This window comes from Homo sapiens, chromosome 5 (assembly GCF_000001405.40).
Source record: "Homo sapiens chromosome 5, GRCh38.p14 Primary Assembly".
NCBI classification, from domain to species: Eukaryota; Metazoa; Chordata; class Mammalia; order Primates; family Hominidae; genus Homo; species Homo sapiens.
Genome location: NC_000005.10, coordinates 76,311,975 through 76,335,991, shown reverse-complemented (window position 1 = coordinate 76,335,991; position 24,017 = coordinate 76,311,975). Strand labels below are relative to the sequence as shown.

Sequence of the window (24,017 nt, the reverse complement as noted above, 5' to 3'; positions counted from 1 at the left end):
CTACTGGGAAGTGAGGAGCCCCTCTGCCCAGCCACCACCCTGTCTGGGAGGTGTACCCAACAGCTCATTGAGAACGGGCCATGATGACAATGGCAGTTTTGTGGAATAGAAAGGGGGGAAAGGCCGAGAAAGGATTGAGAAATCGGATGGTTGCCATGTCTGTGTAGAAAGAGGTAGACACGGGAGACTTTTCATTTTGTTCTGTACTAAGAAAAATTCTTCTGCCTTGTGATCCTGTTGATCTGTGACCCTACCCCCAACCCTGTGCTCTCTGAAACATGTGCTGTGTCCACTCAGGGTTAAATGGATTAAGGGTGGTGCAAGATGTGCTTTGTTAAACAGATGCTTGAAGGCAGCATGCTCGTTAAGAGTCATCACCACTCCCTAATCTCAAGCACCCAGGGACACAAACACTGCGGAGGGCCGCAGGGTCCTCTGCCTAGGAAAACCAGAGACCTTTGTTCACTTGTTTATCTGCTGACCTTCCCTCCACTATTGTCCTATGACCCTGCCAAATCCCCCTCTGTGAGAAACACCCAAGAATGATCAATAAAAAAAAAAAAAAAAAAAAAAAAAAGGAAAATGTGTGACTGTAGCTTTTCTTAAATAAGGAATAGGGCCTACATCTGGAGGAGTGGAAAGCTGGACAAAGGGTTAAGATCTATATAGAGCGATGGGCTGGGTATCAGAAAAGGGGGAAAGAAATTGCTACAGCAAAGAAGGAGGATCTAGCTGGGGGAGAGAACCTGGAAGAAGTGAGAGCTGGTTCCAAGAGAAGGAACAGCCTGCAGAGGGGTGTGAATGCACAACTAGTAGGATAGCACTAGCCAGTAGCACTTTTGGTGATGATGGGATATTCTATGTTTTCAGTGTTCAATATGGTAGCCTCTGGTCACATGTGGCAATCAAGCATCTGAAATGTGGCTAAGTGTAACTAAGGAACTGAATTCTTGGTTTTAGTTAAGTTTAAATATAAATAGCTACATGTGGCTATCATATTAGACAGCATGGTTCTAGAGCTCAGACACAGCCCACTGTTGCTTGCTTACCCAGCAGTTACCTGCCTTTTTCCTTGCTTACAAACCCCCCATTTTGTTCAGGCAGTCAGGAGCCATGTGCTTCAGGAGAGACTGGGCCCCTTACAGCTATAGGGGGAGAGGTGACTCTTGATTAGTCTAAGCCAGTTATGGTAATTATGTTCCTCTTGCTCGTGATTGGTTTAGGAGTTGGCAGATGATGCAAATCCAGCCAATGAGACATAATGGGGAGTCTGCTGGAGGATTCCGAGAATGTTCTCCTTGATCTTAAAAAGGGGTCAAAAAGAGGGACTAGTTCTCCTTCTGGCGCTTAGATGTGTGAAGATGTGATGCTTAGAGTTGCAGCCACCATCTCATGCCCATAGGGGGACAAAAGCCAGTATGATGAGGATGGCTGATCTAAAAGATGGAAAAAGAATCTGGGTCTCCAATGATGTTATCAAGCCACATCAGAACCAACCTTGGGATGGCCCCATCCTCTTTGTTAGTAAAGACAGTTTATTAGGAAATTAAAGGAATAAAAGAATAAAAGAAGACTTGTGTCTTCTGTTAAATGCAGTCACGGGAACTCTTTTGGGGATAGCAAATATGTGGCATTTAAGTCTGTTTCTGCCTCCAATGTGAATTCCCTAAAGTATAGCACTTTTTCTCATTGTTCTTAAACCACTGTTCCAAGCAGCTACTACCAATCAAGTGGATTTAATATGCTAAATAAAAATCTGTTTGCTATTCCTACTCTAGGGCAAAAGAACACAAGCATCTGCTTTGCCACAAACTCCCCCACGAACATATTCTTCCCACTGGTCCTGGCTAACAGTTGGAAAATACTCACGTAAGATCAACAACACATCAATACCCATGACACCAGCCCACAGAAACAATTCAAATAAACCTGAATTGGAGAAACAGGTTTTCTCTATACCTAAGGACATTAAAAAAGTGCTCATTTTTTGAAGGGTCAATTCATGCTTAGAAGGGAAGCCAGTCACACAGCAATCTGTATTTGAATATAATGGAGCAAAAAAAAAATGCTCTTTTATTAATCTGATATACACTAAATATCTTTGCAGCTGTTACATGAATGTTAGTTATCTGGCATATAAATGTATACACAATTCCAAGTTTGATAGATTTATGCTGTACACGAGCCATCCCACATGGAGCATGCCCTTTCACAAGGATACGCATGGCTGTCTCGGGATATTTGTCAAAACACATTTGGTCAAACATTTTGGCAATTGGAAATCAGACACAGAGGAGCATACAGGAAAGATGAGTTCACAACAGGACCAGCTGTACTTAAGATGAAAACTCCAAAACCTGAAACAGAATTTACACATGCAGCACACGTATATACAGTACAATAGGGGTAACTGGAACATTCATAGCAGGAGATCTTACACAGCATTAAAAACAGGAAGAATAAAAAAGGAAAACAAAGCCAAACAATCCAAACACCAAAACCGACAGGACCATTGCCAAGATCTCATTAAAATAGACAGTGGATAGTACGTTTAGCATATGTTCAAAATGGAAGTTCACCTGAAAGAGAAAACTCTTCTATCATGTTATTTAGTGTATCTAGATAGTAACAAAAGACATATGATCTGTTCAATATGTTCCTGGATCAGGATGAGGATACATAACTGCATGGATGCTAAGAAAGTGTATATTAAAAAAGACATTTCTTTTTTCTTCTGACTGACATAGGACATAGATTCAGTAAAGCAAATATATAACAATAGCAGCGGAGATGAAGTTAGGCCAATTTGTCAAGTTCTATCTAGGTAGGCCTGGTGAATATCAAGGCAAGAAAGGAGTTTCCTTCTTGGATGACTACGTGGGCGCAAGAGGGGAGACACTTTGCAACTTCAAACTAGTTTCATTTTGTTTGCATAGCATGAAATAGCCAATTTTACTGTACATTCTTTCTGAAGGAATGACACCCATAGATAACAGTGGATTCTCTGTACTGGGTCCTATTCTGAGTCAATACAAATGCAGAAAGAAACCCTTTGTGAATCACATGAGGTTGAGCTTGCTAAGTCTTTCCCCTTCCTTGGACTTAGGGGCAATGCTGACCCATAAATCCATGATACTCAATGTGATGTGGCCTGTGTCTATGCAGTGGGAGGCCAAGCATTCTTTAGGGCTTTAGATGGTGGTATGCTGGCAAATGTTTAACAACTGTCTTAGGGGTTAGGAGGAGTCTGATTTGCATGGCTTTGTTGCTTTCCATGGCTTTGTTGCTTTCCATGGTATAAATACCACCACTATAGCTGATCTCAAACTACAAAAATACTGTCACTTGGGAAGGTGTGTGTAGTAGTATACCTGTATACAGTATTTCTACCATACAGACATAATAGGCATACATTACCTCATGGGCACAGATAATGGTAAAATGTAGTAAAATAAGTAGAAAGTGATGAGCTTTGACTATATGTTGCCTTTGCTTTTAGCTATAATTTATCTAATCTTATTTAATTTTTTAGTAATAGCTATGTTTCTCAACTGACTCTCAAAAGTTCTGAAAGTTTAACAATCAGTTCGGATGAACCGGTTCAAAGCTATTCCAGCTCATCACTAGCTTTAGATGACTCCAGCCCCTGTGAGCAGGCTGCCTAGTCACTCCCCAGGCACCACAAAGCTGTTTTGGACTTTGCACCCCTGCTGCTGGGGTAGATTACCCGCTTGAGTTGAAACCCGTCTGAGTCTGAACAAAGGGTTGAAAACTGCTTTCTGCTCCTAGTCCTGGGCACTCTTGGATCTAAGGGGAGCATGAATGCAATAAAGTAGGCAGAGAGTGGACAATCTCAGCAATTTCAGCATTCAGACCTGACTGGAAGGCACCTAGCCTTCAGCACCAAGTGGGGAATCTTCTGCAGACATGGAGAGTACCATCTACCTCCACTAGCCAATGAATCTCAAGAACCCAGGTAGGAACATCCTGGTCTTTCAGGAGTCAAACGCTGAGCTCTCAGACTTCTGCTCTGGAGATGGGCTGCTCTGATTCCATACCAGCTGTGCCCATCCTATCAGGGCACAGGCACTGAAAAGCAATTGGAAATCCAGCCCTGCACAGGGAGCTGTGCCAAAGCCAGCAGCCTTGCGTTCACACTCCCCCTGCACCCATTCCTGTTCTTCACCTTCTCCTCCTCTGTGCCTCCACAACAGGCATGGATGGGCCTTTCATCCCAAGTGCCCCAGGAAAGCTTGGCCTTGCTTTTGTACACTGCTAGAATTAAGAGGTTGTCGACCAGAGGAGGAAAAGAAAAAAAACAAAAGGGAAATAAAGGAAATGAGTGGGCACTGCCCTGAGGAGGTAAGAAGAGAACTGGTGGGCAAAAATGGCAATGGGGCTCTCAGAGGAGGGTAGAGGGTCACTGACAACTACCCTCTTTCTGCTCTGCCCCCCTGCAGGCCCTAGAACCCCAAACATCCTTTGCAACTTCAAGACACTTGCAACAACACGCACCAGTTTTAAACTGAAACCCAAAATACCCCTGCTACTGGCTGTCAGAACCTGTTTTCTGGATGGCTTATCTGCTGAGGGTAGCGAGGAGGGAAGCTGCTTTAGGATGTCTGCAAAGATAATTGACTCACCCACAAATCTTCAAAATCAGAAAGGAAACACCCTGGGAGGCACAGACCAGGGGAGTGGCAGCAGCTGCAGGCTTTGCTGACTTAGCTCTGAAGAGAAAACCCCAACACTATTCGCTGGGGAACAGACCCCCTAGCTCCTGTCTCTGGTTTCACACCATGAAAAGAACACCTCAGAAGAAAGCGGGACTTTAGGCCAGGTGTAGTGGCTCATGCCTGTAATCCCAGCACTTTGGGAGGCCAAGGTGGGTAGATCACTTGAAGTTAGGAGTTGGAGACCAGCCTGGCCAAAATGGTGAAACCTCGTCTCTACTAAAAATACAAAAAATTAGCCGGACATAGTGGCATGCACCTGTAATCCCAGCTACCTGGGAGGCTGAGGCAGGAGAATTGCTTGAACCTGGGAGGCGGAAGTTGCATTGAGCCGAGATTGCACCACTGCACTCCGGCCTAAGTAATAGAGCGAGACTCCGTCCCCCGCCCCCCCGCCCAAAAAAAAAAAAAAAATGCTCTAGAGAGATGGGGCTATCTCTGCTCCTGATTCTTTTCCTTGAATAATATCTTAGTGCAATATCCTGCTGAGATTATTTAAGGGAACAACTTATGTGTGGTTTCATTTTTCTCATTTTCCAAGTACTAGTTAATAGTCTCTCCAACAAAAACCAGGTAATCAAGGAGCTTTCTCCTCTCATCAAAGGTTATCTCAATGACTGAATAGTTCCTGCACTGCCTGCTGAAGGCTATTATTTGTTTTAAATGTGGAAAAATAACACTTTGTATTTATGGGGGGGGGCGCGGAGGGTTCACATGTAATGGGGGTCAGTGTGAGAGTGTCTTCTCTCATTCTGTTTTCCTTGCCCTCATTTAAGTCCTCCATAGGCTTAATTATTGCACACAGCAGTGTCTCAATACGTATCACATGGGAGGTGCTCAATAAGTATTTACTGGATAATCATATGAAATGACAAGAGATCAGTGAAGGCTCGGCTCAGCTCTTCCCCTGCCCAACCATGCTAGCCTTAAGTAAGAGCTGAAACAGACCCATAAACTGTATTCTTGTAACTCAAAATCCTGGGATTACTAAACTGCATTTAGATATTGTTTAAGAAAGACTGAAGGGAGCCCTGGCAATGGCTCTGTGACTGGTTGGTGAGAGACGGGCGACAAGAGGAATGGTCAACATTTAGAGCAAAAGAACATCACACGGAGAACTGTTACGCCATACCTGAAACAATGAAGGGACACACAATACATCCAGAATATACTAACAGGTTTTTTTTTTTTTTTGTCTACATTACAGATAACAAGAGAAGCTTTACTTAAAATACATACTTTGCTGAGCATAAACAAAAACTGTGAGAAACATATAGTCCACTTCAGAGTTTCAGAAGTTGTTGCAATACTGGTGTTTTTAGGCTTAGTAACCAGACTAAGTTTGGCACGATGTGAGGATTAAAGAAAACCTAACATACAGCCGATATGCCCCTTAACACCAATATCCCAGTTGTCTTTCTGTGATACCAGGTGAAGGCCAAATTCAGACATTCCTGGCTCCAGAGCCTTTAGTGCATGAACAGATCAGGTATATTACTGAAGAAATAGGTAAAGGCCATTTTGACATCAAACAGAAAAAAAATTGGAGAATATCATATTCTATCTATTTTGATTGGCAGAGGGAATCAGAAAGTATTCCCCTGGACTGCTTTGGAAATGACCCCAGCATTTAGAAAGTCTCTGCTGTGTCCTAATCTCTTTGCTGGAACCTTATCAGTGGTATCTTGGACTCTCCCTTCTGTCACTACATTTCTTTTCCCACCTCCCCTTTGATCTCTTAAGGTATCTTGAAAGACAACTAAGCAGTTTTTGGTGAAAACCTGAACTCTGATTTGGTGAGATTTGTCTATTTGCCAATATAGGTAAAATCACTGAAAAACTGTTTCTGAAGCCTATGTATAATACTTAAGGCCATGTTTCAAGAAAATAATGGAATAAACAGTCAGGAGAGCTGTAGGGTAATATTGCAATTATAGTCTTCTAACCTAAGCGCGTTTATCTGGCAAGGCGGGGCCCTTTTCTGGCTGGGTGATGGTAACTGTCAAACCTGCAGTGAACAGAGATACTAGTCAGGATGCTGAGATGCTGGCAGGGCAGACAGCATGGGGACTGTGCTTTCTGGCCTATTCCATGCGGGCTTCCCAAACAACTTCCTACACTCTTTTTATGCGTGCCTATTTCCTAATTTTTCAGTTTATAAACTAAACCTATTTAGTGCTTGTAAAAATGAGTTGAGGCCGCCAGTGGCTCACGCCTGTAATCCCAGCATTTTGGGAGGCTGAGGTGGGCCGATCACTTGAGGTCAGGAGTTCGAGACCAGCCTGACCAACACGGTGAAACCCCACCTCTACTAAAAGATACAAAAATTAGCTGGGCGTGGTGGCGCATGCGTGTGGTCCCAGCTACTTGGGAGGCTGAGGTGGGAGAATCACTTGAACCTGGGAGGCGGAGGTTGCAGTGAGCAGAGTTCCCACCACTGCACTCCAGCCTGGGCAACAGAGTGAAACTCCACCTAAAAAAAAAAAAAATGAGTTTAGCATAAGAAGGCAGATAAGATGAAGCTATTTTCATTACTGTCTTCTACAATGCTGGAGAGTGGAGAGCAGACTAGTCCCAATCCTTTATTTTGTGCACGGGGAAAGTGAGAACTAGAGATGTTCAACGACTTACAGTCTCCACAGCAAGATCTGGGTCCCTGTACCGCTTAGTGGTGAAGGTCAGGCTAGGACCCATCTATCGCGTCTCCAAGGTCTGTACTCTGGTGTGAGATGATTCAGGCAGCAGGACTGAATGTGAGTTGGGTGCCTTAAAACCCAATACCTGGGATAGAATGTGGTACATACAGAATTCACAGTTTGAAGCAGTTGTTTGTTTTTCCCTACTGAGAAGATTCTGTGATAATAATGGGACTTGGGAGCATTCTGGATTGATTCCAAAGAGCAACAGGGAAATTTTAGTTAGAAAAGGTGGTAAAAATATAGGAGCAAGTGGACTATTTCCTAGGTTTTCATTTTTGTACAAATTTTCATTTTCCTTCTACTGTAGGCGAAATGAGATGCCAGTTGCGTGTTTAGGTGCCAGTGGCCTGCTACACTGATACAACTGAGAGTTTCTGTTTAATATCCTGGCTGTTTCTTAATCTCCAGCTAAATCTGGAGCAAGCTATACAGGCCACACCACATGCTTTGGAAATGATTTGAGCTCTCTTAGAAAATCAAGGTGATGAACAGTCTCAAGGAGGCAGGGAAGAGTGCACAAAAGGTGGGAGAGGTGGTGACCAAGAAGGTTTGTGACCACAGACTGTCCAGGAGATGAGAAAAGATCCCTCTTAGGCCACCAAGGATGCTTGGATTAGGTAACAAGTAGGCCAAGAACGGTCCTTCTGCAGGGGACACGGATGGCAGGTCTCATGAAGTAAGGTTTTGCTGGTTTATCCTATGCTGACCCAACCCAGTGTTCAAATAAAATTCTGAATAACTGTGCTCTGCAGCTTGGGAGATGTTTTATGCATTTAGACCCCAGAGCAGACATTAGAGATATTTTGAAAAGTAAAGGTAGTCTAGTTAGCAAAGTGAACTATCACAGAGGACTAGAGACAGCGATGCCCATGTACATTTCTATTTTTCTTTTGATGGGTTGATGGAGATGCACTCCTGGCTTTTGCAGTTATTTCTGCACATGCTGCATTCAACTAAAAGACCTGCTCAGGTCCCCAAATGTCTTTTTAAAGAAGACAAATCAGGGAGAGATAGGTGGGAAAATGGGTACATGTGGAAGAAGAAAAACATACAGGGTACTTTCTTGGGTTGTTTGACTGCTGTCTTTGTTCTCCAATAAAATGATAGGAGGCAGAAGTGAGAGAAAGTTGTTTCTTTCCCTGTGCGGTTGGTATCTTTCAAATGCATCTTGTCTAGCCTTCAGTGATTTTTCTTCTTCCTGCCACCTTTGCAGTTTTTGGTTCGGGTTTTCCTGATGTTCTAGCCCTGATCACAGACCCCCAGGGAACCACCCTCTTCCCACTGCCCCCAACACCAGTCTTCCCCCCTCTGCAGACCTGAATTACTTCAAGGGGAAGTCGATTAATGGCTTATGTTAATGAAAGAAGCTTTTCACTTAGTCTGAGCTCTGCGAGGGATCATTAGGAAGGGGAGGGGGAGGCAGGGGGGCCTCAGGGGAGTTAGGACATCTCTGAAAATAATGATCAGTGGAAACAAAAGCTTTCCCTTCCTGGAGGCCCCAAGCTATGGCTTGCCTGAAAATGCCTATAATAAGTAACAAGAATAAACCTCTATCGAGGCAGTTAAAAAAGGAATATTGTTTAAATATGGGATTTATTCCTGGCTTCTGGTCATTGGCTGCAAGTCTACAAGGAAGGTTCAGATTTCAAAGAAGAGGTGTAAAAAGGACGAGCCTGGGGGAAGGGGAGCCTGAGAGGCGAGAAGGTCATGTAGCTGACAGCGGGCCCGTGGGAATGTCCTGGCTGACCTCTTTCTTCCAAGCCCAGGCAGATTCCAGAGGTAAAATGAGCAGTCAAACAACCACAGGGAGATGGTCTGTCTGTGAGAGGGGCCCTCAGGAGTGCAGGCGGGCTGTGATTTTACAGGGAGCCAGGAGCGCATTGAGCAGTGGGCCAGCCCTGGGGAAGCTAGAGGGACAAACCCTCTTTGCTGATGCCAGCTGGGAAGCTGAATGTCAACTGCGGGCCAGGTGGGGTGGGGGTCCTGGCGGGCCAGTCCCACAGCAAAGAGGTACTGGAAAGAGGTACCATTTTGTATTTCCAAATGGCTCTGGGTGTGAATTTCTTCCTAATTTGCAATTTACAATTTAGCTATCCACTGGCAATCTCTAGACTAGAGACAGTGTGGGTAAGTGGCAGAATCAGGTAGGCAGACAGTTTTTAAGAAGCAGCTTTCTTTCCCTGAATCTGCTGTCTGGCAAGACCAAGGGCAGCTGAAGGAGTGGGAGTGGTAAATGGAGGCAGAAGCTCTCTCTCGGATCTCTGATTTTCAAACATTCTGAACCACATGCCACAGTCACAGATACTGTTACAGTTCTTTTTCCTCACACTTTTCAGAGGTTTAATTGGGCTTTCTGACAGAAATCTTGCTTATGCAGCACACTCAGATTTTTGCTGCTAATTGCAGAGCTTTTATTTTTCTTGTCAGCGGTCACCTTAATTGTCTTGCCCCAAAGAGCCCCACCCAGCCCTGTTTGGTGCCACATGGTTTTCTTTGAAAGGCTCTGCTATAACAGTGAGAATTACTGGGTGTCCTTTTCTAAGTAAACAGGAAATATCACTCTGTTAGAAAAAAAAAAAAAAAGAATCCCTCTTCTCAGCACAAATGCAATAATGTGCCGACTTATATTTCCTGTTAATGTTAAATTAGGAGCAGGATCTATTTCTTACACCAGCCCAGTCTTCTTAGCTTCTAAACTTTCAATGAGCAGAACCCCAGGGAAGCCTGGCTGCCTAGGGCATTTTAGAAATGCTTCCACTGATTTGCGGGAGGCAGTAGCATCACAGTTTGGAAAGATAACAATGCATTCAAACAAAACAAAACAAACAAACAACCTGTGCAAAATCACAAAGGGGCAAGATGATATGCTTCTAAATTTTAAGTCACAGCACGTGTTTATGTTCTGATACTTGATCACCTTTCTATATAGGAAAACTCTGAAGCCTTGAGTCAGGAAGGAGAATTGACCCAGGGCAGGAGGAAGAAACGCAGGAAGGATGGCTTTTTTTCCCATTACATCAGAACCTGGGTTCGTGTGTCAGGCAGGCACAGCCCAACGAGTCCTCCACACACGAGCACAGTAGAAGCCAGCAGGATGGGGATTGATTTGGTGATGCTGACCAGAGAGCCAAATATTAAGTTTCCCAGGACGGCTGCTGCCTTGCATAGCGCATTTAAGAAGCCAAAGCCTGTTGCCCTGCAAAGGAAAGAGACATGAACAAGGTTGAGAAAATGCCTCCCCATGATTCCAACTTTAGACCAAAAGATCCTAGATTTTCAATGATCTTCCCTCAGATTGTGTTGTATATCAGTGGAGCAAATCAATGCTTGTTAGCAAATCTGGGAGTAGAGAATCCTAGCTGTTGGTATTGTTCCTCCAGCCCTCTGTTGACTTTCTTACCATAGCTTCCATTGACTCTTACTCTGCCTGTAAGTCCCAATGTATTGTGAACAGAAAGAGAGAAAAAATTGTAGGGAGTACGAAACATCTCTAGTGGTTTAACGTTGTTGGAAGGAAGGGTCTTTTTCATTTTTATAGAGATTAGGTCTTGCTCGGTTGCCCAGGCTGGAGTGCAGTGGCATAGTAATAGTTCACTGCAGCCTCAAACTCCTGGGCTCAAGCAATCTTCCCACCTCAGCCTCCTGAGTAGCTAGGACTACAGGTGCACACCACCATACACAGCTAATTTTTATTTTTATTTTTGTAGAGATAGGGTCTTGCTATGTTGCCCAGGTGAGTACACTGGTACAATGATAACTCACTGCAGCCTCCACTTCGCAGGTTCAAGTGATCCTCCTACCTCAGCCTCCTGAGTTGCTACTTGGGACTACAAGTGTGTACTGCCATGCTCAGCTATTTTTTTTTTTTAAATATTTGTAGAGATGGGGGTGTCCTCCTGCGTTGCCCTGGCTGGTCTCAAACTCCTGGGCTTAAGCAATCCTCTTGTCTTGGCCTCCCAAAGTGCTGGGATTACAGGCATGAGCCACTATACCCTGCAGGAAGGGTCTCTTAAAACAAACTTTAATCCTCCTCTATCCAAACTCTTCTCTCAGGAACAAAACAGGCATAAAGCGCAGTTCATTAGAGAGAGGCAGGTCACCTCTGCTCAGTGTGGGAAAAGCTGGGTTACCTCCTCTTATCCCAGGCAAAGGGTGGAGAGGGTGATATAGAAAAATTGAGCAGTTTCTCATCTCTTTACAAGAGTGACTTGTTATTTTGTTTTGTAAATTCCCATAATTTCAGAAACATCTATGTTTAAATGGAAATTTAAATTTCATTCCAAAGTTAAAATGTATGGCAGGCTGAGCAGGGTGTCTTACACCTGTAATCCCAGCACTTTGGGAGGCTGAGGTTGGAGGATTTCTTGAACCTAGGAGTTTGAGACCAGCCTGGGCAACATAGCAAGACCCTGTCTCTATCAGATAAGTAAAGAGAAAAAAAACTGTTGTTAAGTGCAACAATATATTTACTTAGATTTGTTACTCCCTATTTTCTTTAATTAATTATGTTCATGCTAAGTGTTTTATTTTTTATTTATTTTGTATTTTACTTTCAGTTCCGAGATACATGTGCAGAACGTGCAGGTTTGTTACATAGGTATACATGTGCCATGGTGGTTTGCTGCACCTATTGACCCATCCTCTAAGTTCCCTCCCCTCACTCCCCATCCCCTAAACAGGCCCTGGTGTGTGTTGTTCCCCTCCCTATGTCCATGTGTTGTCATTGTTCAACTCTCATTTATGAGTGAGAACAATCGGTGTTTGGTTTTCTGTTCCTGTGTTAGTTTGCTGAGGATAATGGCTTCTAGCTTCATCCATGTCCCTGCAAAGGACATTATCTCATTCCTTTTTTATGGCTGCATAGTATTCCATGGTGTACATGTACCACATTTGCTTTATCCAGTCTATCATTGATAGGCATTTGGGTTGGTTCCAAGTCTTTGCTATTGTAAATAGTGCAGCAATAAACATTCATGTGTATGTGTCTTTATAGTAGAATGATTTATATTCCTTTGGGTACATACCCAGTAATGGGATTGCTGGGTCAAATGGTATTTCTGGTTCTAGATCCTTGAGGAATCGCTGTACTGTCTTCCACAGTGGTTGAACTAATTTACATTCACACCAACAGTGTAAAAGTGTTCCTATTTCTCCACAGCCTCGCTAGCATCTATTGTTTCTTGACTTTTTAATAATAGCCATTCTGACTGGCATGAGATAGTATCTCATTGCAGTTTTGATTTTCATTTCTCTATGATCAGTGATGTTGAGCTTTTCTTCATATGTTTGTTGGCCATGTAAATGTCTTCTTTTGAGAAGTATCTGTTCATATCCTTTGCCCCCTTGTTGATGAAGTTGTTTATTTTTTTCTGGTAAATTTGTTTACATTCCTTGTAAATTCTAGATATTAGACCTTTGTCAGATGGGTAGATTGCAAAAATGTTCTCCCATTCTGTAGTTTGCCTGTTTACTCTGATGACAGTTTCTTTTGCTGTGCTGAAGATCTTTAGTTTAATTACATCCCATTTGTGAATTTTGGCTTTTGTTGAAATTGCTTTTGGTGTTTTCATCATGAAGTATTTGCCCATGCCTATGTCCTGAGTGGTATTGCCTAGGTTTTCTTCTAGGGTTTTTATGGTTTTGGGCTTTACATTTAAGTCTTTAATCCATCTTGAGTTAATTTTGCATAAAGTGTAAGGAAGGGGTCCAGTTTCAGTTTTCTGAATATGGCTAGCCAGTTTTCACAGCACCTTTTTTTGAATAGGAGATCTTTTCCCCATCTCTTGTTTCTGTGAGGTTTGTTGAAGATCAGATGGTTGTAGATGTGTAGTGTTATTTCGGAGGTCTCTGTTCTGTGCCATTGGTCTATATGTCTGTTTTGGTACCAGTACCATGCTGTTTTGGTTACTGTAGCCTTGTAGTATAGTTTGAAGTCAGGTAACATGATGCCTCTAGCTTTGTTCTTTTTGCTTAGGATTGTCTTGGCTATATGGGGTCTTCCTTGGTTCCATATGAAATTTAAAGTAGCTTTTTCTAATTCTGTGAAGAATGTCAATGGTAGTTGGATGGGAATAGCATTGAATCTATAAATTACTTTGGGCAGTATGGCCACTTTCACTATATTGATTCTTCCTATCCATGAATATGGAATGTTTTTCCATTTGTTTACATCCTCTCTTATTTCCTTGGGCAGTGGTTTGTAGTTCTCCTTGAAGAGTTCCTTCACAGCCCTTGTAAATTGTATTTCCAGGTATTTTACTGTCTTTGTAGCAATTGTGAATGGGAGTTCACTCATGAGTTGGCTCTCACTTGTCTATTGTTGATGTAAAGGAATGCTTGTGATTTTTGCACGTTGATTTTGTATCCTGAGACTTTGCTGAAGTTGCTTATCAGCTTTCTATTTTCTTTTATTAATTAACATGCTAGGTCTTAAATAAGAAGAGCCCACGGAATTTTCTCAGAAAATTAGGGAGGGTGAGGTTATATCCCTCATCTTTCAGATACTATGGAGGTGAAATACTCTGCTATCTTGCCAATTATTTTTGGTAGCAGGCAGAAACCGAATACTGAGCTGGGGAGCACACCAGTGAGCCAATGTAACATTTGGGAAATCAAGTCCAAGAAAATATGACAGAAGAGAATCAATTGTGGGCCTAGGAAGATCTTGTTCCCTCTCTTTAAGATACGCAGGTATATAAGTAAGACACATCCCACTTCTTAAGACATTTTTTAAAAAAGAAAAAAATTATTATCTTTAGTACACATGAACAAGTGATCTTCTAGGCAGAAAACTTAATTTTTTTTTTTTTTTTTCAGAGATGATAGGGTCTCGCTCATGTCACCCAGGCTGGAGTGCAGTGGTGGAATCTTGGCTCACTGCAGCCTCGATCTACTGGGCTCAAGTGATCCTCCCACCTCAGCCTCCTGAACAGTTGGGACTACAGGCGTGCACCACCATGCCCAGCTAATTATTGTATTTTTTTGTAGAGATGGGGTTTCATCATATTGCCCAGGATGGTCTCAAACTCCTGGACTCAAGTGATCCTCCTGCCTTGGCCTCCCAAAGTGCTGGGATTACAGGTGTGAGCCACCATTCCCAGCTGAAACTTAATTTTGTTCATGAGCCTGCATACACCACTGACACCATGAGAGAGTATGAATTTCCTTCTGACTTTATGCCAGTTTACTCTTTTTTGGCTGTCACTGAGTTAAAGGCACATCGAATACAGGGCAATTTTTGGATACCTTGTTTTTTTTTTCCCCCTAAGAGGGAAATGCATCTTATAAGGGGCAAAATGCAGCATTTAGCACACATCTTTCTTTGTTTGATTTGTAAATTTGTAAGTGTGGGTTTTTCTTTGACAAGTCATAACTACTCATCGCTACTTGTACTGTACCTAATGATAGTTGTTTCCATAACGTGTGGACTCTTCATAACCGAGATATTTATTGTGGTTATTATCCAACCATCCTCCTTTCTGCACCATGGGAAAGGAATAAACACTCCTCCCTGAGCTGCACAAATCCAGTCTGTGAGTTAGTGCACAGCCAGTGATTTTGTGGGTTACATCACACCTAATAAAGGGCAGTAAGCACGGATTTTCTTTTTGGCTAAGACACCTAGAAAGTAGAGTATGCAGGCTCCTGAAGTGAGGCAAAGTTGCCAACTGTTTGGAATGTGGGAAGAGTATGACAGAATCTCTGACTGAAAGAAACTTCTTGAGAAGAGGGTAAGCTAATTTCATATTCTTCCTCTTCTTTTTTTAAAGCAAGAGACTAGTAATGGCAGCAACCACTAAAAACATAAGGAGATTTAATATACTGATAACTACTTTCAAATGAAATTGCTTGAGCCTATATGTTGTGTACCAAAGAAGACTTAATTATACTAGAATGACCCCGTCCCCACCTCCCCCACCTCCATGGATATGCCATGAGGCTAAACTGTCTTTTTGCTGTTTTTTAGAAATATGAATAGATGTTTTTGAGCAGCTTTAGGTTTACAACAAAAAAAGTGAACAAAAAGTAGAGTTCTCTTATACCCTCAGTTTCCACTAGTAACTTCTTGCTTTGGTATGGTACATTTGTTACAACTGATGAGCCAATATTGACACGTTGTTATTAGCCAAAGTTCAATTACATTACATTGGTGTTGTACATTCTGTGGGTTTTGACACATGTATAATGACATGTATCCATCATTACAGTATCATGTAGAATAGCTTTACTGCCCTAAAAGTCCCATGCTCCATCTATTCATTCCTCTCTCCCCACAACCCTGAACAATCACCAATCTTTTTACTGTTTCCATAGTTCTGCCTTTTCCAGGATGTCACAGAGTTGAAACCTCACAGTATGTAGCTTTTTAAAGACTGACTTCTTTCACTTAAAAAAAAAAAAAAAAAAGGAAGACGAGACGAGGCTATTGCTATGTTGCCCAGGCTAGTGTTGAACTCCTGGGCTCAAGCAATCCTCCCACCTCAGCCTCCCAAAGTGCTGGGATTACAGGTATGAGCCACCGTGCCTGGCTTTTCACTTTGTTAAACTAACATTTTAGTTTCTAGATTCTAGTGTCATAAATGACCAGATATATGTTGTAGTAGTAAGATAAGCTGGATTCTTCCGGGGAAAATGGCCTGAGTGTATGTTGCTGATAAGAAAAAGGAAACCACTTTTCTGTCATGAAGAAGTCTCTCAATGCTGAAACTGCAGAGTAACCCAGATAGGATTTGCATCTAGGTTAAAATAACCGTATTTTCCCAAACGACGAACCTCTGGTATAACTCAGAATAGCGTATAAAATGTGGGCTGCTATCTCCTTGTATCACTGAAACTGTACTCGAGGAATGGATGACTTCCTGAGATTCCTGGGCAGACTAAAGGCAGATGCGTTAGGAGCATCTGGTATCTGAGGGTTTTGAAAAAGACGATCAAATCCTTCTTAAGAATCTCCATTTTCATTTACCAAGCAAAGGCAGTTCTTTAGATGAAAATCTGGTGTGGATGCAAAGCACACAGCCTCCGTAAATTAGTGTCGGCATTCAAGAAAACGTGACTACCCTTTCCTTGGAAAAGTAAATTCTTCTTTCAAATATTTGCAGCTGAAGCGTGTAATTTTTCTTTTCTTTTTTTCTTTTTTTTTGAGATGGAGTCTCGCTCTGTGGCCCAGGCTGGAGTGCAGTGGCGCGATCATGGCTCACTGCAGCCTCGACTTCCTGGGCTCAGATGATTTTCCCACCTCAGCCTTTTGGTAGCTGGGACTAAAAGCTTGCACTGCCGCACACGGGCAATTTTTTGTGTTTTTTTTTTTTGTAGAGATGCAGGTTTCACCATGTTGCCCAGGGTGTTCTTGAACTGCTGGGCCCAATTAATCTGCCTGCTTCGGCCTCCCAAAGGGCTGGGATTACAGGCGTGAGCCACCACGCCCAGCTGGGCATGATTTTTCAATGCATCAGAGACACAGCTGTATTAGAAAAACCATTCACAAAGTGATTCTCCCTTGGGGTTATCTGTTTATAAAATAAATAGGCTTTTAGTTCATTTACTCTCTGTTCTTACTTAAAGGAAACTGTATTGCTTCTGCAGACACCCAAAGTACGAGTCACCTTTGCTCATAAAGTCCTTTGAGGGTGGGGAGCTCAGAGCTTGCAGAACCCTGACTTGCCGACTTCTCAGCTGTAGAATGAGTTAATGCATTATTTTTCAGATCAAATATGTTTTCATGCCTTCTCTTAAACAACAAGCACTGAAGGGAAAGAATGAAATGATCTAGTGTCATTCTATTGCTCCATGCTTTGCTTCTCATCTCTTCAGCCAGAAGCCTTTGCTCTCAATTTGTACTCAATCTACTTATTTAAAATTTTTAAATGTAAATTATTTCCCCCAAAAGTACCCTGTGACTGCAGCTGCCTTGTTGCTCATTCCATTAAGGTGGCTCTCCTCCCTGCATCATAAACTTCCTTGGTCTGAGACACATGTGCTGGTATATGGAGCTGGTTTGCAGCAGCACTTAGACTCACCTGGTGGGGATGTGGCCACCTCTGCAGCTGGATGGTGGCTCCCTCTCTGGGGCCTTCACGATTTATTGGGTTCTAGTTTATTTATATTGTTTCATGCTGTTTTTTTTTTCTTTCTTTCTTTTTGAGATGGAGTCTCACTCTATTGCCCAGGCTGGAGTGCAGTGGCACGATCTCGGCTCACTGCAACCTCCGCCTCCCAGGTTCAAATGATTCTCTTGCCTCAGCCTCCCAAGTAGCTGGGATTACAGGTGCGCACCATCATGCCCAGCTAATTTTTGTGTTTTTAGTAGAGACGGGGTTTCACCATGTTGGCCAGGTTGGTCTCGAACTCCTGACCTCATGATCTGCCCGCCTCGGCCTCCCAAAGTGCTGGGATTACCGGCATGAGCCACTGCATCTGACCCATTTTATGTTTTAGTTGGTGGTGGGGAAAAGAAAACTACTGGCTCCATTCTGGATAAAATGAGGATAATTTTGTCCTCACATCCAGCCTCTTTGTGGATTTTTCTGTCTTTAGTGCAGGGCCAGATATGGGTTTTTTTTGAGGCTCCTAGGAAGAAGAAAAGGACACTGAAAAATGGTGGCACTTAGGGCAGTGCCTGGCATGTGGTAGGCACCATGTGACTATTAGCCATTGTTTAAACACTGGCTGAATATCTACCCCACCAACTGATAAGATTATTAGAAAAGAACAATTAAGTGCTACATTTTTGAGGCAGGGCCTTGCTCTGTTGCCCAGGCTGGAGTGCAGTGGTGTAATCATAGCTCACTGCAGCCTCGACCTTCCAGGCCCAAGTGATCCTCCTCCTCAGCCTCTCGAGTAGCTAGGACCACAAATGTGTGCCAGCAAGCTCAGCTAATTTTTTAAATTTTGTAGAGATGGGGTACCCACTATGTTTCCCAGGCTGGTTTTGAACCCCTGGGCTCAAGTGATTCTCCCACCTCGGCCTCCCAAAGTGTTGGGGTTACAGGCATGAGCCACAGCACCTGGCCTAAGTGCCACATTTTAAAAAGGCCTGAAATGGTGTAGATCCAGACTTAGCTCATAGAATTTACCTGTTAAAGGGTAAAAGTGTGTGTGTGTATGTGTGTGTGTGTTGGGGGGGGTGGTTCTTTTTGTCTAGAATAAATTTTTGGAAATAAGCTTTTTCTGGACAACTCAGTTAAATAATTGGTAGAAGTTACAAGAGGGATACTCAAGACTCAGCATGGGGCATTTTGAAAAGTATAGGCAGTCCTTAAATCAGGAGGACATTGTGATCTAAAGATTCATCTGGAAGTTGGTTATTTGAAATACACAATGAATTTCATTTATCTTAGAGAAAAAATATTAAAAATGATGGCTAGGTCATCAGGTTAGCCTAAAAGAACTTTTGTAACACTGAATCCATCTAAGCTATCACATTACAATGCTAAAAGTACAAGAAACCCTTAAATATTTGTCTAATACGCAGATTTGTCCTTAATACACTCCTAATTTACATATTCTATGCGTTTTTTTCATATTCATATAATCATTCATTAAATATCTGCTAAGTGTCAAACACTGCACTAAGCTCCAGAGACCCCAAAATTAATAAGATGAAACCTCCATTTGCACTAAGATGGGTGAGACGAGATCATGGTAACATACATGCTGAGTGCAATGTTGAAGATACCCACAAAGTATTATGCAGCCAGGAGCATAGAAAGTGATATCGAGCTGAGGGTAGTGGCAGTTGAAGGAAAGCTTCTCAGGGGGGCTGGACAAGACTAGGAGTGTGCTGAAAGGAATAGTAGGAGCTTGCCAGGAGAAGGATGGCATGTGGATAGGGGTGTTCTCTGCCTCTCCCCGTACTCTCACATCTCCCTAACTTCCCTCATGGTACCCACTCAGGTTTGCCTTAGACACACCCCTAAAGGCTTCTTGAGGGCTAAACGGCTTACCTCCCTCCAGCCCCTAAATAAATTTCCTACTCCCAAGCAGGTGTTTTCAACCTAGGATTAGGATAGCAATCTGATTGAACCAAAGTGCACGTATAACCATGCCCTGAACTAATGATGCTTAAGCTTGGGTGCATCAGAATCACCTGGAGGAGCTTTCAAACCTTAGTGATGTGTTCAATACTGATGCCTAGGGCCACATGCACAGAGATTCTGAATTTATTGCTTTATTGGGGCCCAAGCATTAGTATTTTTTAGAAGCTCCACGTGACATGAAGGTGTATCCAGGGTTGAGAATCCTGCTGTCTTCCCAGGGATGTCTGCATTCTTTGAATTGATGTGGGTTTCATATACAAAGGAAATTATAAAAGCAAAACATCCACTCCACCTTTCTGACAAATGGTTTTCATTTCTGAATTCCCTTTAGTGTACTTCCAGTCATATAAATCACAGGAAATCAGAGGATTTAGACAATTTTGCTTTCTGCTTTTTTTTCATTCATATTACTGTTTTCTCATGTTGATGTTTTGTTTAAAATGAAATGATTTATTTAGCATGGAACCATTATTCTTGTAACCATGCCATTGGCTAATGGGAGCTTTCCAAATTTGGGGTAACAAGTGATTCTGCAATTAACACCTTCACATATATGACCTGCTTCGTTTGTGTGTGTTCATTAGGGAATATCAAGCAGCATAAAACATCCAAGGGAAAGTGTTTATGATGTGATGCAGGGGATACTGAGGCCAGCAAAGTATGCTTTGCACACTGGAGAGGAGAGAGAGAGGGATCCAACCCAAAGGCTTCCCATCCCTTTTTTCTTCTCCCTTCCTGCTTAGGCTCTTGTTAAACTCCCTTGTTTATTCTGCTTCTCACAGCACAGAGCTTAATTCATTTCACCAGAGGCAGCTTCTCACCTAACCTGAATTGTTTCCTTCTCTTCCAACTGTTACTCAGTTGCCTCAACTTGATTCCCTCCACGCTACCCTTCCCACTCCCCTCCAAGGGCTGGTTTATACCAATCTTGCACATCTCCTTGTCCAGAATTAGCCTTGTTTAGGTCCAGGTCACCTCTGGGGGAGTGGAGCTGGGTAGCCTTTGTAGTCACTCAGCACCACCTCTTCTCAGGACCGGTACAGATACCTATGTTACTTATTAAATGAAAGACTGAGCTAACAGATTTCCTGAGATCTTCCAAATATGTTGGAAGTCGATTTTTGTAATAGACATTTTAATGGAAATTAGTTGGGTCATATTTGTTTTTTTGATACCAGACTATCATATTTTTTTTTTCAGAGAGAAAAAATGAATTTCATATTAAGTCAGAAAAGACTGAATGCAATTGTTTTCTAATCTTCAAAGAAAGATAAAAATCTGTCTTACCCTAGTATCTATTATGTGTGTGTGTGTGTGTGTGTGTGTGTGTGTGCGCCTGGCCATGTTCCTTAATGAGGGCAAGATGGCACCCTGCACCCCTTCGAGCAGGGCCTTCCTTACACTCAAGTGGAGAAGGACTCACCTACAAGTTGTGAGCTGACAGGAATCCCTGGATCCCAAGTAGCCCTTTATCTCCCTCCCATCTCCACCACCATAAGGGGCTTTTGACTGCTTATTCCTGTTGAAATCAAATATTCTGGGAAGGTAATAACGGGAGCCTTTATGTCTTGTTTATCTGATTAACCTAGCTAGGGAGTGAGGGCCTGGGCCAGGGTAAATAATGATGGAATGACTGAGCACCCCTTGGAGTTCATCTGTGGCCAAGGTCATGAACATGGCTGTGCATCCCAACAGCCAAGTGAGCTGTTTAAAAATAGATTCCCACACCTACTGGGAGGGGAGGTAGATATGTCTGTGCTGGGAGCAGCACCACTGAGTCAGACATCTGGGTTTAAGGCTAAGTGATCCAGGACAAGTTACTTCCCCTCTCTGTGCCGCATTTTCCTCACCTGAACATGGGGTAAGAATACCTACTCTTACAGGATTGGGATGAGAATTAAATAAGTTGAGATCATTTAAAATTTCCAGCATCATGCCCGACCCACCCTCCACCACACAGATGAGGAAACCAAGGCTCAGAAGGGTGAAAGGCCTTTTCCAAATTATCCAGCTATTTTTCTGGCAGTGACTGCACCTGAATTCAGTGACCCCTAGATCAGTGCTTTCCTCCACTTTGTTGATGAAGTAGAGGGAGAGGGGGAGGTGGATCTCTAATAGGCAATGCTTTATGAGGAACGGGGAGCTGACAGCTGAAGGATCAGGAGGTCTCAGGCTGTGATGGAAGAAGTGGAAAGGGACCCAAAGGACAGCAGAGAGGACTGAAGACCAGTGCTCCCTCCCTTACACTGGCCCAAATGCTCACTCTGGAAAGCTGGGAGGCTGGACCCCATACGGGGAGGAAAACTATCATCCATAGCCAAATTAATTCTCAAATGCATATTTCATTCATTCATTCATTCATTCACCTAGAGTTATGGCAGTAAATAAGGAAGACAATGTCTTGCCCTCAAGGAGCTAACATTCTAGTGAGTTAAACAAGTACACATGCAACCTAACATCCTCTCATCATAAGGTCTGGGTGATAATTTCCTTTAAGTACTTCAGTATAAACAATATGATTGATAGATAAATTGTCTCTAATGCATACCCATATAATTTAAAGCACATTAATCAAGAATCAACAGGCCAGAGATGGTTACTTAGTGCTTTAAAGATCATTTTAGAAATCTGCATGAGAAGGTTTGTTAATGACCACGGAGATGATTTTTTCACTGATGATGTGAGTGCTGTTCTGTATAAGCAATGATTGGAAAGAATGTTCTGCCCTTAGCCTAATGAACATACAAGCGTCCTCCAAGCCCTGCAGCCTCAAGTTGGTGAAATGGTACTCCTGGTCTAGACTCCAGATTCTAGAGCCCCCTTATCCTGCACCCCACAATTAAAGGGGCATTCCCTTGTTTAGCTGGCCCACAAGTCTGGTGGCCCTGCTGTCAGCATATCAAGCACATGGCCCTTTCATGCAAGGGCTTGCTCAGTACCCAAGGACAGCGAGATGGACTTCCTTGGAGCTCAAAAACAAACTTTGTGACTGTTTTTGTGCTAGTACACTTGGCAGGATTTGCTTCCATTGTAATATATTGCCTGATGGCAAGGTTGTGGGAGCAGGAAGCATATATTCCCCACCCCCTTCACCCTCTACTTCTAACTACCAGAGACAAAATGAATCTGACTTTTGCTGGATAGCCAAAGCATAAACATATATAATATAATGATAAGGCGTATAAGGAAAAATCAAGCAGAGCAGAGGGCCAGGGATGGAGTGGATTACATAGGTTGGTTAGTCGCGATAGCTGAAAGATTCCTCTGTACCAAAATCTTCACAAATAAGTGAGATATTTATCTTTATATTAGACGTAGAATGTATTCAAGAAAGAATGAATGAAATTGCCATTACAGAATACCAGATGACGACAGTGAAGAGAATTCTAGAGCTAGAAAGGCCCTGAGATGCTATTTATTTCATACTCCTCATTTAAATCTCAAACAATCCAGGCCCAGCTAGGCTGAGTGGTGTCCCTGAGGTCGCACAGCTGGTCAGTAAGAGATCCAAGATGACAGACCTTCGGAACTGAAGAATGGGGAGGAAACAAGAGAACTCTGTCAAAACAAGGACAGTCCTAAGGGAAGGGCTTGGGTTGCTTAATTCTGGGAAAATGTTTTGATTTTAGCTCATCAAGGAAGAGACCAATCCCACTGCACTGGGTGATGGCAGCAGCTGCCCAGGACTCTCAGGGATCGGCAGGTGTGAACAATCAGATCCTCAAATCCTTTCTGACCTCATGTCTGAAACTGTGCATGCATAAGGGGGCATAAGGGGGAAAGAAAAGGGAAGAAGGTAGGCAGAGAAAGGCAGGAACATGCGGCCAAACGACACCATGAGACAGGCTTGCCTGGCCCTGGGAGTCTGTGCAGAGTTGCAGGACGGCCCTGAGAGCGTGGGCTGCATCTCACAAGGTGTGCGCTCCTGGCCCCGAGCGCCACGGAGGAGGGGTAAAGATGGCCCCTAATGGCTGGGCACGCTGGCTCATGTCTGTAATCCCAGCACGTTGGGAGGCCGAGGCAGGCAGATCACTTGAGGTCAGGAGTTCGAGACCAGCCTGGCCAACACGGTGAAACCCCGTCTCTATTAAAAATACAAAAATTAGCTGGGAGTGGTGGAAGGCACCTATAATCCCAGTTACTCAGGAGGCCGAGGCAGGAGAATTGCTTGAATCTGGGAAGCAGAGATTGCAGTGAGTGGAGATTGCGTCACTGCACTCCAGCCTGGGTGACAGAGTGAGACCCTGTCCCCCCCCCCAAAAAAAAAAAGTGGCCCCTGAGCCATAAGCACACAGGAAATGTGAGCAGGGGACTTGGCCACAGCCACATAGTGGCAGCAGAAAGTTAACACCTGGACGCAGAGAAACATAAAGGCCAAAACCTAGAACTGGAATGAGCTGGAACAGGCCTACACCGCGGGAGCTACATTTATGACTTTTGAGAGATTTACAACTTTCACAAAGCAGGGAGAGAAAAGTAGGGACCCTGATGGATGGAAAAAATCCATTTCAACCTGTCATTACATATACTTTCATTTTGAAGACTTC

At 43.2% G+C, this 24,017-nt stretch overlaps 1 protein-coding gene across 5 annotated transcripts in view, besides 4 other annotated features; it reads right to left on the bottom strand.

The window, feature by feature from the left end:
* The window catches only part of SV2C (synaptic vesicle glycoprotein 2C), a 506,476-nt gene that overhangs the window by 17,948 nt on the left and 464,511 nt on the right, over positions 1-24,017 (bottom strand). For 4 of the 5 annotated variants that reach the window (XM_011543282.4, NM_014979.4, XM_011543281.4 and 1 more), the window contains one exon: positions 2,036-10,628. The exons of the other annotated variant lie outside the window; for it this stretch is intronic. In XM_011543282.4, the coding sequence (XP_011541584.2) occupies positions 10,445-10,628 (184 nt within the window). In that variant the 3' untranslated portion in view covers positions 2,036-10,444. Of the gene's footprint in view, positions 1-2,035; positions 10,629-24,017 lie in introns of those variants that run through there. 5 annotated transcript variants of the gene reach the window in all.
* Positions 179-809: an enhancer, noted in NCBI's record as "NANOG-H3K27ac hESC enhancer chr5:75631008-75631638 (GRCh37/hg19 assembly coordinates)". NCBI's record gives its function as "activates a minimal SCP1, AML or CMV promoter by ChIP-STARR-seq in naive H9 embryonic stem cells {active_cell/tissue: H9 hESC(naive)}" and the evidence as "EXISTENCE:reporter gene assay evidence [ECO:0000049][PMID:30033119]".
* Positions 10,061-10,560: an enhancer, noted in NCBI's record as "H3K4me1 hESC enhancer chr5:75621257-75621756 (GRCh37/hg19 assembly coordinates)". NCBI's record gives its function as "activates a minimal SCP1, AML or CMV promoter by ChIP-STARR-seq in naive H9 embryonic stem cells {active_cell/tissue: H9 hESC(naive)}" and the evidence as "EXISTENCE:reporter gene assay evidence [ECO:0000049][PMID:30033119]".
* Positions 16,009-16,153: an enhancer, noted in NCBI's record as "145 bp enhancer 83 fragment used in the MPRA reporter construct; PK_construct_4497". NCBI's record gives its function as "activates an SV40 promoter by MPRA in K562 cells {active_cell/tissue: K562}" and the evidence as "EXISTENCE:reporter gene assay evidence [ECO:0000049][PMID:23512712]".
* Positions 16,073-16,090: a transcriptional cis regulatory region, noted in NCBI's record as "GATA motif; enhancer activity is reduced when this motif is scrambled". NCBI's record gives its function as "necessary for full MPRA enhancer 83 activity {active_cell/tissue: K562}" and the evidence as "EXISTENCE:site-directed mutagenesis evidence [ECO:0005528][PMID:23512712]".